The sequence below is a fragment of the Homo sapiens genome, chromosome 5 (genome assembly GCF_000001405.40).
Source record: "Homo sapiens chromosome 5, GRCh38.p14 Primary Assembly".
NCBI classification, from domain to species: domain Eukaryota; kingdom Metazoa; phylum Chordata; class Mammalia; order Primates; family Hominidae; genus Homo; species Homo sapiens.
In genome coordinates, this window is record NC_000005.10 from 102,218,629 (window position 1) to 102,232,091 (window position 13,463).

Genomic DNA, 13,463 nt, shown 5'->3' on the forward strand with positions numbered 1-13,463 from the left:
TGAAGGTTTGTGGCACAAACCTGTGTTGAACAACTCTATCAGTGCCATTTTTCCAACAGCATAGGTTCCCTTTGTGTCTCTGTGTCACATTTTGGTAATTCTCACAATATTTCAAAATTCTTCATTATTATCTGTTCTGGTGATCTGTCGTCAGTGCTCTTTGACGTGACTATTAAAATTTCTTCTGCAGTTTCCTCACCTCTCTTAGCCTTCAAAAAATTAAAGAGAGTTTGAGCCTTGCCCTGGGTTAGGCTTTGGCTTAAGGGAATGTGGTGGCTGGTTCGATCTTCTACCTAGAACACTCAAACTGTCTCTATATCATTAATAAGGCTGTTTTGCTTTCTTATCATTTGTGTGTTCACTGGAGTAGCACTTTTAATTTCTTTCAAAAGCTAATTCTTTTTGCATTGACAACTTGGCTGTTTGGTGCGGGAGGCTTAGCTTTCAGCCTATCTTCACTTTTTGACATGCCTTCTTCACTAAGCTCAAACATTTCTAGCTCTTGATTTAAAGTGAGAGATGTGTGACTCTTCTTTTCACTTGAACACATAGAGGCCATTGTAGGGTTATTAATTGGCCTATTTTCAATATTGTTGTGTCTCAGGGAATAGAGAGACCCGAGGACAGGGAGATAGATGGGGGAATGCCCTGTCATGGAGCAGTCAGAACACACACAGTATTTGTTTATTGTTTGCCATCTTAGAGTTGTATGTTTCAAATAAGGCAAAACAGCCTTATTAATGATATGGAGAAAGTTTGAGTGTGAAGGCTAAGAGAGGTGAGGAAACTGCAGAAGAAATGTTTGAAGGTCTTTGCCTAAACCAATGTCTAGAAGGTAACAGATATTGGTTATTGAGGTTTAAAGAAATAAGCCATCTTCCTACATAGAAGTGCAATATGAAGCAGCAAGTGCGTGGAAGCTGCAGCAGGCTACTCAGAAGATCTAGCTTAGATCATTGATGAAGGTGCCTAAACTAAACAACAGATTTTCTTTTCTTTTTTTAACATCTAATAATTCATTTTTTTTTATTTCAATAGGTTTTTTGGAATCAGGTGGTGTTTGGTTACATGAATAAGTTCCTTAGTAGTGATTTTGGAGATTTGGGTACATCCATCACCTGAGCAAACTACACTGTACCCAATGTGTAGTCTTTCATCCCTCACCCCTCTCCCACCCTTTCCCCCAGGTCTGCAAAGTCCATTGTATCATTCTTATGCCTTTGCGTCCTTATAGCTTAGTTCCCACCTATGAGTAAGAACATATAGTGTTTGGTTTTTCCATTCCTGAGTTACTTCACTTAGAACAATTGTCTCCAATTCCATTCAGATTCCTGCAAATGCCATTATTTTGTTCCTTGTTATGGCTAAGTAGTATTCCATGGTATGTATATACCACAATTTCCTTATCCACTCATTGATTGATGGGCATTTGGGCTGGTTTCACAATTTTGCAACTGAGAACTGTGCTGCTATAAACATGCATGTACAACTATCTTTTTTGTACAATGACTTCTTTTCCTCTGGATAGATATCCAGTAATGGGATTGCTGGATCAAATAGTAGTTCTAATTTTGTTCTTTAAGAAATATCTACACAGTTTTCCATAGTGGTTGTACTAGTTTACCTTCCCACCAGCAGTGTAAAAGTGATCTCTTTTCACAATATCTATGCCAACATCTATTTTTTTTTATTTTTTGATTATGGCAATTCTCACCAGAGTAAGGTGAGTGTTATTTGCATTTCCCTGATTATGAATGATGTTGAGCATTTTTTCATATGCTTATTGGCCATTTGTATATCTTCTTTTGAGAATTGTCTATTCATGTCCTTAGCCCACTTTTTAATGTATTGTTTGTTTTTTCTTGCTGATTTGTTTGAGTTATTGGCAGCTTCTGGATATTATTCATTTGTCAAATGTATAGACGGCAAAAATTTTTCCCACTCTCTGGGTTGTCTGTTTCCTCTGCTGATTGTTTCTTTTGGTGTGCAGAAGCTTTTTAGTTTACTTAAATCCCATTTATTTATCTTTGTTATTGTTGCATTTGCTTTTGGGTTCTTGGCCATAAGGTCTTTGCCTAAGCCAATGTCTAGAAGGGTTTTTCCAATGTTATCTTCCAGAATTTTTATAGTTTCAGGTCTTAGATTTGAGTCCCTGATCCATTTGAGTTGATTTTTTTAGAGACACGAGGATCCAGTTTCAGTCTTCTACAAGTGGCTTGCCAATTATCTCAACACCATTTGTTGGATAGGTTGTTCTTTCCCCACTTTATGTTCCTGTTTGCTTTGTTGAAGATCAGTTGGCTGTAAGTATTTGGCTTTATGGGTTCTCTATTCTGTTTCATTGGTCTATGTGTCTATTTTTATACCAGTACCATGTTGTTTTGGTGACTATGGCCTTACAGTATAATTTGAAATCAGGTAATGGGATGCCTCCAGATTTGTTATTTTTGCTTAGTCTTGTTTTGGCTATGCAGGCTCTTTTTTGGTTCCATATGAATTTTAGGATTGTGTTTTCTAGTTATGTGAAGAATAATGTTGGTATTTTAATGGAAATTGCATTGGATTTGTAGATTGCTTTTGGCACTATGGTCATTTTCACTATATTGATTCTACCCATCCATGAGCATAGGATGTGTCTCCATTTGTTAGTGTCATACAGGACTTCTTTCAGCAGTGTTTTGTAGTTTTCCGTGGAGAGGTCTTTCACCTCCTTTGTTAGGTACACGCCTAAGTATTTTGGAGTTTGTTTTTTTTTTTTTTTTTTTTACAGCTATTGCAAAAGGGGTTGAGTTCTTAATTTGATTCTCAGCTTGATTGCTATTGATATATAGCTGAGCTACTGATTTGTGAATATTTATTTTGTATCCTGAAACTTTGCTGAATTAATTTATCAGTTCTAGGAGCTTTATGGAGTAGTCTTTAGGATTTTCTATGCATACAATTGTGTCATCAGCAAACAATAATAGTTTGACTTCCTCTTTACCAATTTTTATGCCATTTATTTCTTTCTCTTGCCTGATTGCTCTGGCTAGGATTTCCAGTACTATATTGAATAGAAGTGGTAAGAGTGGGCATCCTCATCGTGTTCCAGTTCTCAGGGGGAATGCTTTCAACTTTTCCCTATTCAATATAATGTTGGCTGTGGGTTTGTCATAGCTGGCTTTTATTACATTAAGATAAACAACAGATTTTCAATGTAGACAAAACAGCCTTCTATTGAAAAAGATGTCATCTAATACTGTACTAGCTATAAAGAAGTCAATGCCTACCTTCAAAATTTCAAAGGGAAGGCTGACTCTCTTGTTAGAGGTAGCCAGCATCTTTAAATTGAAGCCAATGCTCATTTACCTTTCTGATTTTTCATAAAGAATTTCATAATTTCATGAATTTCATAATTCTTTAGGGTCCTAAAGAAGTATGCTACATCTACTCTGCTTGTGCTCTACAAATGGCACAACAAAGCCTGGATGACAACACATAAACAGAAAAAGCTCTTGGTTTCTGAATATTTTAAGTCCATTGTTGAGACCTACTGTTCAGATAGTTTCCTTTCAAAATGTTACTGCTCATTGACAATGCACTGAGTCACCCAAGGGCTCTAATGGAGTCACCCTCATGAATGATTTTGAGACGTTCAAGATTTCAGTGAAGGAAGTAACTATAGATGTGGTAGAAACAGCAAAAGAATTAGAATTAGAAATGGAGCCTGAAGATGTGACTGAATTTCTATAATCTCATGATTAAACTTGAAGGAATAGGAGCTGCTTCTTATGCACAAGCAAAGCAAGTGGTTTCTTGAGATGGGTCTACTCCTGGTGAAGATGCTTTCAACATTGTTGAGATAACAAAGGATTTAGAATATTTCATAAATGTAGTTGGTAAAATAGCAGCAGCAGGGAGTCAGAGGATTGACTCTAATTTTGAAAGTAGTTCTACCATATGTCAAATGCTTATCAAACAGCATCACATGCTGCAGAGAAATCTTTCCTGAAACAGTCAATCAGTGTAGCAAACTTGATTGTTGTCTTGTTTTATGAAACTGTCACAGCAACCCCCGCCTTCAGCAACCAACCACCACCTTAATTATTCAGCAGCCATCAACACTGAGGCAAGAACCTTGACTATCAAAAAGATTACAACTCCCTGAGGGCTGAGATGATTCTTAATATTATTTTAACAATAAACTATTTTTAATTAAGTTTACCCACTTTTAGAAATAATACTGCATATTTGGTAGACTACAGTGTAGTGTAAACATTAACTTTTATAGGCACTGGGAAACCAAAAACACTTGTGTGCCTTACTTTATCACAATATTTGCTTTGTTGCAGTGATCTGGAACCAGACCCACAGTATCTCTGAGGTATGCCTGTATTTACAGAAACCCATGGGCCTCTGAGAATAAATATTGACAGAGTACCTCTCTTTTTCTATCTCCCATTGCTCAATCATTTTTGGAGCTCACAATAGTTCTTTGCATTAAGTAAAGGGTCAATAAATGTTTCTGGAAGATGACTGTATTGTCTTTGACTTTTTGTTTAAATCTTGTATTGCTTTACTTTTAAACTTTTCATATATTTATGCTTTATTTCACCAGTTAGATTTTAAGTTTTTGAGGAGAGTAACTCTAGTTACAACATTCCATATTAAAGCCTGAATTGACTTAAAAAGAAAACTCTGGAAGAGGCATTTTGTAAGAAAATCACATTACATAATTCATCCCATGGCTAGCCAAAAATGGTTTGAGAATTATAAGCACAACTGAAATATTTTTAATCGAAATTATATAATAAGTATAAGAACATATCAATTTTTTCAGATTTGATTTTTAAATTTTATTTTGAAGCAGTCTTACTGATATTCATGGGATGAGATGCTAGTACTAATAGTAGAACATGTTAATATTTTTAGTATATACAGAATTCATGCTCATCAGTGAGAAGACAATCTTGTAAAAATTTTGAAGTTTTTTATTTTTTAGTACATTTTTCCAAATTCTTTTTATGGATGACAATATAAATAGCTATTCGGTATCTTAAAATAAACTATAGAATAGTACAAAAATTTGCTTTTGGTCAATATCTACAGTGAAACTTGTGAAATGAGAAACATGTGCTATTCTATTCCCAACCTAGAAAGGAAGTGAAAATAGTAAAAACTGCATCCACAAAGTAATTCTCATTCGTTACTAGTTTTTCTTTTAACTGGAAATCTTTTCCAATGATCTGCAATGAGAAAAGAATTCTTGCAAAATTAGTAGGAGTATGGGAACAAAGAAAATGAACAACTGTAAATGCAAATGCAATTTTTACTCCATCAAGAACAGAAAAAAAGTTTAGCAAACAAAGCACCTTATTGTCTTAGTATTATAAAAGCAACACCACCACCTTCTGGTAAAAATAGAAATTGCAATCCCAGAAAGACAGGACATTTGACACATTTTTTTCTTTTTTTCTTTTTTCTTTTTTTATTTGTTGATGGTCCAAAACTTAGTGAACATTTTCTTTTCTTGAGAATATCACATTTTTATGTCTAGGGCCTCAAATTTGTTCAATTGCTTTATTAAATATGATTTTTAGGATTAAAAGAGATACTGTATAATACCCATGACTAAAAGTTGTGGGTTGTGTTCCTTTTAATCTAAAGTGAACTTCAGCATATACTAGTGAAAAGCGAAAGCCTGAACTTTGGAGCCACAGATACCTGGATTCAAATTCTATCTCTGATTCTACCTTTGTGGCCTTGACAAATTAATTTTCCTGGGTTTCAGTTGTTTCACTTGCAAAACAATAGTGGTGTCGTGAGCATAAAATGCGTGATACATCTAGTACATTTTGTCACACCGAGTAGATAAGCAGTAACTGATAACTACCTTATTTTCCTTAGAATTACCTGATTTCTGCTATACTTTTTTTGAAAGTGTTTTCATGGATAATGTTATTCAACATGGTTTTACTGCTTTTAATTAATTTTCAGACCTTCAAATCACCTGTCAAAGATACCTGGTAGCTGGGCGTGGTGGAGCATACCTGTAGTCCTAGCTATTGGTGAGGCAGAGGCAGGTGGATTGCTTGAGCCCAGGAGTTCTAGTCTGCAGTGAACGATGAGGGTGCCACTGCACTCCAGACTGGTGTCAAAGTGAGACCATTTCTCAATAAATAAATAAAGACACATGGTAATTATCAATACATTATTTACTTATATAAAAGGAAAGCCAATAATAGATTTATTTGATCTTACCAGGCCCCAGACAGGATGTATATAGGACAAGGAAAAGAGAGGGAAGAAGGAAAAAATTTGAACATATCTGATATTGTGATTTATGTTCCCTTTCCTTGGGTAAGCTTTGCTGACAACAGTCAGAGACCAGTCAAAATATTGTGTCATTGTGCAGCCAGATAGATCAGTTGTTTCCATATTACTAGCAAAGTATGTCCTAGGATGTCTTTTTTTATGTCTGAGTAGAGTGTCTTTAGCACCTGTACCTAGTTATGCCAAATCTGCCCCATTTTCCTTATCAGAATTTCTCATATTACTACCACCGTATATTGCCTGTACTCTGCCAAACTACTTCTGGATCTATTCATGAAATATCCAGTAGTGTCATGTTCATACTATTACTGAAGTAGCTCACCAATGCAGAGAAAGAAGGAATTTACCAAGCGGTGTTCTCTAATTTGTTGTTGTGGTTATTTCTGAAAGGAAGAGCCCTGGGCAAAATTTAAAAACAAAGAAATTTCTCTTTACTGTTTCCCAATTTTCGGACACACTTTCGTCCCCAATTAACCTCATCCATCCCAAAGAGCACATGCTTCCATATTTTCAGATGAAGCCCGAGTAATGTCTTAACCTCAAAATTACCCCATTAATTTTCATGTCTTTTATTTTCAAAACTAAATGTTTATTCTCTGAGACTAAAGTTAGAAATAAGAAATCATCATTAAATCACTGACAACAGAAAGTGAGTCATGTCTGCCTCCTGCACTGCATCTTCTTCAATGCGATAGTTTATATTCAGCAGTTTGCAATCCTAACTTAACTTTAGAATCACCTGGGAAACTTTTAACAAGTTAATTTCATTTGTCCTGGATGGAGCTTGAGCATTGTTAATTTTAAATATTCCACGAGTGACTTCAATTATAGACATTGTTGCCAATCCTCAACCCAAACCCTAGTTAATAAATTTCACGAGGTAAGGAATAAGTTTTTTCATAGGTTTGGAAGGGAGAATTGTACTAAAATTATGTTTATTTTCTCTGTATAAGTAAAGCAAGAATACAAAGATAGTAAAGTAACTGGAAGAGGTGGGGCTGATAGGATTCAATCTATAAAGGGCCTTATTTTTATCCCATTGCTATCTTCCGGTATATTTTGTAGGATCTACCTTCCCCACTCCCTTGACAACAATCTAAAATTTCATAGCTATATGGCAATTTTAGGCATTAGAAAAGTCTCATTTCTCTTATAACCCCAAATTAGAACTCACTCATGAAAAAGGTACCAATAAGGGAAGAGAGGGTAGTTCTTCATTAGTCTGTTTTGTTTTCTGTGCTCTTAGCATCAGGAAAAGGATGAAAGAAATATAGGAAGAGGGACAAAATCCTTACCTGACCAAGGCCTACACCATCTTCTCTTGGCAGACACTGGCTGACTTCCATGCGCTCCGTTATGGCATGGCTTCGAAGACTGCTTCATTTATGAGGTGCAATATTAGGTCCATGTTTACCTCTGACCTGATCAATTCCCAGAAAGATTGACGCTCTTACAGAACTATCCTCCTTTGTTCCTTAATTTAGTAGGAAGGACCTCACAGCAAGGAGCACCTGAGGCAGAGTTCCATCAAGTATAGTAATGCCTCATGGCATCTTATTGCATGGGAAATTCTCATCCTCAGATGTTAGGAATGCAGCTATTCCTGTAAGACTCCCTCTCTTTGCAGTAGGGGCCCTAGGCTTAAGACAGTAACCCATTTCAAAGTTCCTTTACACTTCAACATATTGGGAATGAGATGCAGTCCATTCTGATTGGACTGCAATTCAACAAGCATCCAACTAGAAATATCTTATCAGCCTCCTCTCTTACACCTTCATCACTAGGGCTTTCTCATTCAACTTGGTGGAACCCATCAACAGCTGTTTTGTTGTTGTTGTTGTTGTTGTTTGTTTTTTCTTAAATGGCTTATTTTTAAAAATATAATTGTTTCTAATATTATGTTCTAAAATTTTCAAATCGGTGTTATTAGGGAAAAAATACATTATCACAAAATGCACCATTTTTAAGTACACAGTTCAATGATTTAAAAAAAGACACTAACATTGCCATCACTGTTGTGCCCTTCTCCAATAAAGCATTAGCCATATCGCCAGAGAGCGCTAGTTTTGTTTTTTTGTTTGTTTGTTTGTTTTTTTAATAAAGAATAGTTTTTGTTTGGAAAGCAACATCTGTCTGCTTACATGTGCTCACTACTGCTGGATTACCAGTATCTCTAACCTCTTCAACAAACAGAATCTATTCCATCTTTTCATGCATTTATTTGCCATACGTGTATCTTTTTTGGAGAAATGTCAATTCGGATGCTTTGCCCGTGTATTCATTGGCCCATTTATCTTTTTATTGTTGAGTTGTAACAGTTCTTTATATATTCTGGACGCAAATGAGTCCCTTATCACATATATAATTTGAAAATATTTTCTCCTGCTTTTGGGTTACCTTTTTATTTTTTATGGTATTGTTTACAGCATAAAGTGTTTAATGTTAAGTCAAATGTTTCCATTTTTTAATGTTGTCATTGTGCTTCTGGTGTCGTATCTGAGAAACCATTGTCTAATCCAAGATCATCAAGATTTACCTTTTTTTCCTTCTAAATGTTTTAGAAGAAATATTTACAAACTTTAGCCCTTACATTTAAACTTATGGTCTATTTTGAATTTAGTTTTATATAGACGTGAGGTAGGGGTTTAACTTCGTTTTTTTGCATATGGATAAATTATCATTTAAATCAGTTAAGATAAATATGAGAAAATATATGTTTATATAGTCTTTCATATTCACCCATGTACTTACCTTTTCTAGTGCTCTTTATTTGTTCATGTGAATTAGTTACAATCTAGCGTCATTTCTTTTCAGCCTTTTCAGTACGTCATTTCATTTCTTTCAGAACTTACTTGAGTGTTTCTTGTAAGGCAGGTTTGATAGGAGGAAATTTTTTCAGTCTTAGTTTATCTAGGAATGTCATTTCACCATCACTTTTGAAGCATATAGTTGCTAAATATATATTTTATATTCCTTTTTTTCTTTCAATACTTTGATTCTGTCATTCCCCCTTACCTTGTAGCCTCGATTATTTTTGGAAAGAAGTCAGCCATTAGTTGCATTGTTTTCCTCCTGTGCATGTTGACCGGGTTTCCATTTGCTGTTTTCAAAATGTTCTCTTTCAATAGTTTCAATAAGATGTGTGTAGCTATGAATCTCTTTGTGTTCACCCTTCTTTGGACTTTGATAATGTTCTTGGCTATGTAATTTAAATTGTTCAGCAAATTGGGAAGTTTTTAGCCATTACTTCTTAAAATATTTTTTGTCCCTTTATTTCCTTCTATGATTCCTATTACCTTATATATTGGTAAGTGTCATGGTTTCCCATGGTTGCTGAGGCTGTTATTTTTACTTGTTCTTCTTATTTTCTAGTCCTCTGATAGAATAATTGGGAGATCTTCAAGGTTGCTGATTATTTCATCTGACATTTCTAATCTGATGTTGTTTCCCCAGTGAATTTCTCGTTCATTACAGTTATCATACTTTTCAATTCCAAAATTCCCCTTTCTTTTCTATAACTACTCCTTATTAATATTCTCTTTGAGGTATTTTTATCATAATTTCATATAACTCTTTAAACATGGTTTCTTCAGTTATTTGGGCATATTTGTAATAGTTGTGTTGAAGTCATTGCATGCTAAGGCTAATATCTGCTCCCCTTCAAGACAGGTTTCATTGACTATTTTCCCTGAGTATGGGTGATGATTTCCTGCTTTAGACGCTTTGCAATTTTTTGTTGAACTCCAGACACTGAAGAAAATATACTATAGCAATCTTTGAATTCATTTTCCCTGCTGGGTGTGTCCAGAGATCCTTTCTTGCTAGTCTGCTAGCACTGCATGTTTCAACCAGCATCTCAACCTCACACTAGCTGCAACACTGGCCACTGAGATTGCCAGTGACTGAGAAAATGCCCATGGGCCTTGAGTTTCACTGTATTCCACTCCAAATCAAGTCAGCCTCCTCTACCTGCAAAACTGCTGGTTTTCACAGTCTGACACCCTTACAGTACTACCACGATGATGAAGCTGGTGAAGGAACAAGAGCATCCCCAGGCTAAAATACATCAGAGACTCCTATGTTTTTTCTTTTTTTTTTTTTTTTTTTTCGCCTCAAGACAGGATCTCACTCTGTCATCCAGGCTAGAGTGCAGTGGTGATCACAGCTCACTGCAGCCTGGACTACCCAGGCTCAAGTGATCCTTCTACCTCAGCCTCCCAAGTAGCTGGGACCACAGACGTGGGCGATATCCCCGGCTAATTTTTCATATTATTTGCAGAGACAAGGTCTCCCTATGTTGCCCAGGCTGGTCTCAGACTCTAAGGCTCAAGTGATCCTCCCGTCTCGGCCACCCAAGCTAGTGGGATTACAGACATGAGCTGCCATACAAGGTCCGCTTTTCTTATACAAGATTTAGTAGGGTTTTTTTTTGGTGAATAAATATTTCCCTGTCTGTCATATGCCTGTGTTTGATTCCCAGGGACCTGAAGTGATTGTTTTTGATAATTTTGTATAGTTTTGTTGTATTGCTGCATTTTTGGAGAGGATTTGATGAACCCCTCATTCCATCATTCCAGTAGATCAGGTTTTTACAGTGTATGTGCAGAAATACTGAAACTAATTTATGTGTTTATAAGGTGTATTAGACAGAATTCTAAAGATGCTTCTTCCCCAATATTCCACACCCTGGGCTACTCAAAGAAGCTCTTAACTGGATACTGTGGTCAAGAAACTTTGTAAATGTAATTAAGATGATGGATCTTAAAGTAGAGAGTTTATCCTGAATTGTCCAGGTCGGCCCAATCTAATTACTTGAGCTCTTAAAAGCAGGTAATTTTATCCAGCTAGGGTCATAAAGAAGCAGCAAAAGAGAGAGCAGGAAAGATGAGACAGAGGGGAAGTCAGAGAGATTCAAATCTTGAGAAGGAGTCCACATGTCATTGCTGGTTTTGAAGATGGAGGAAGTGGGGGGAGGTGCATAAACCAGGAAATGTGGATGTTCTCTAGGGCCCAAGAACAACCTCCAGACATTGTTGTAAAAAAAAAACAGGGACCTTAGTCCTACATTGCTATGTGTATTAGTCTGTTTTCACACTGCTATAAAGCACTACCTGAGACTGAGTAATTTATGAAGAAAAAAGCTTTAATTGACACACAGTTCAACAGGCTTAACAGAAACCGTGACTGGGAAGTCTCAGAAAACTTACAGTCATGGCAGAAGGTGAAGGGAAAGCAAGCATGTTTTACCAGGGTGGAGCAGGAGGGTGGAAGGAAGTGCTAAACACTTTTAAACTACCAGATCTCATGATAACTCACTTATAAGACAGCACTAGGGGGATGATGCTTAACCGTTAGAAACTGCCTCCATAAGCCAGTCACCTCCCATCAAGCCCCTCCTTCAACACGTGGGGATTACAATTTGATATGAGATTTCAGTGGGGACACAGCCAAACCATATCATCATGCAACTGAATTTGCCCAACAACCTGAATGAGCTTGGGAGTTAATTCATCCCCAGAGCCTCCAGAAATGAATACAGCCTTGGACAACAACTTGATTTCAACTTGTGAAACCTGGAACAGAGAACTACCTGAACCACACTATTCCTGGGCTTCTCAACTACAAAACTGAGAGATAAATGGATATTATTTTATGACATAAAATTTGTAGTAATCTTTCATGTCAGCAATAGAAACTAATACTCTATCTAGTATTGGACAAATAATGTGTTGTGGATAACAAAAGCCAGTTTTCTCACTCTTTAAGAAAGTATTTACAAATGAGGAAAAGGAAGATTAACATGAACTCTATGGTGTTGGATTGCAGTTGGAGGTATCCATATTCATACACACATAAATTAACATAGAAATAGATGTTATGTATGTTAACATGCACATCTTGGTTTTCAATTGTTTGATCCTTAAATAATGGAAAGTATAAGAAGAGCCTGGAGTATCTTGTGGTGCTAAAAAGTAAGGATGTCCTCAAATAATGTTGTAAAGATGTCCAAAAAACACAGGAGCCAACATAATGTGGCTCCAATGTCTACATAAAAACCATTTGACAAAAAAAAACTAGTGGATAATAACCTAGTCAATTAATGTATATTTGTTCAAATAATAGAGTAACTTTAAATAAACAGAGAGAAAGGGACAGTTCTTTCTTAGATTACAATACCAATTAATACATGTTACACAAGTGATGAATACAGAAAATCACTATTAGCAAAAACCATATTAAGCACGCAAGAATCAAAAATGGATGCTAAAATTAGTGGATGAAAGTTTGCTGAGAAACAGGATATTTGGATGGTCTCAAAGTATCCCTTCAAGAGCTAGTTATTAATAACACAGGAGAAAATAAAATTAGAGTGGTCATTGCTGGCAGATACATACCTTAACCAAGTGATCAAAGTTCTGTCATATTTAGACAACATGTACTCGCTAATATGTGCGTTGAGAAGAGTATATCATTTTTGCCAAAAAATACGTATAATGTTAATATAATCATGAGAAAACATCAGACTAATCCAAATTGATAGATATTCCACAAAATAATTGGCCAATCCTTTTCAAAATTGTCAAGGTAATATATGGTAGACAGCCCCCAATATCACCCCAATGATAGTCACAATATGCATGCCTCTTGGTACTACCTTTTGTCTTTTCTTCCCACTCTATACCAGGCATGGTAGGCAGATTTGTAAAGATGTGTTCTCCTCCCTGGCTTATTCAACCAAATATGAATCAAGGTCTTCTAGTTTACTGCAAAGTTCTTTTAAATCCTTTTAAGGACTTTGCAGCTGGAATTAAGATTACTAAGGTCATCTGTATGACCAGTAGACTGTGGTAGAAAAGATGGTATGTCACTTCTAAAATCAAATCATATAAGACACTGTGCTTTCAGTTTTGGTTGCTCTCACTCTCTTTTGTGTCATTCACCCTGGTAGCAGTCAGCTGCCACGTCACAAGACCTATGAAGAGGCTCACATGTTGAGGAATGAAGTTCTTTTTCAAACAAACATGTGAGCACACTTTCTTACAAGCACATTACTCAATCCCAGAGAACCCTTCAGATGATTACACCCCCAGCCAATATCTTTATTGAGACTTCTTGAGAAACTTCAAACCAGAGCCACCCAGCACAGCTGC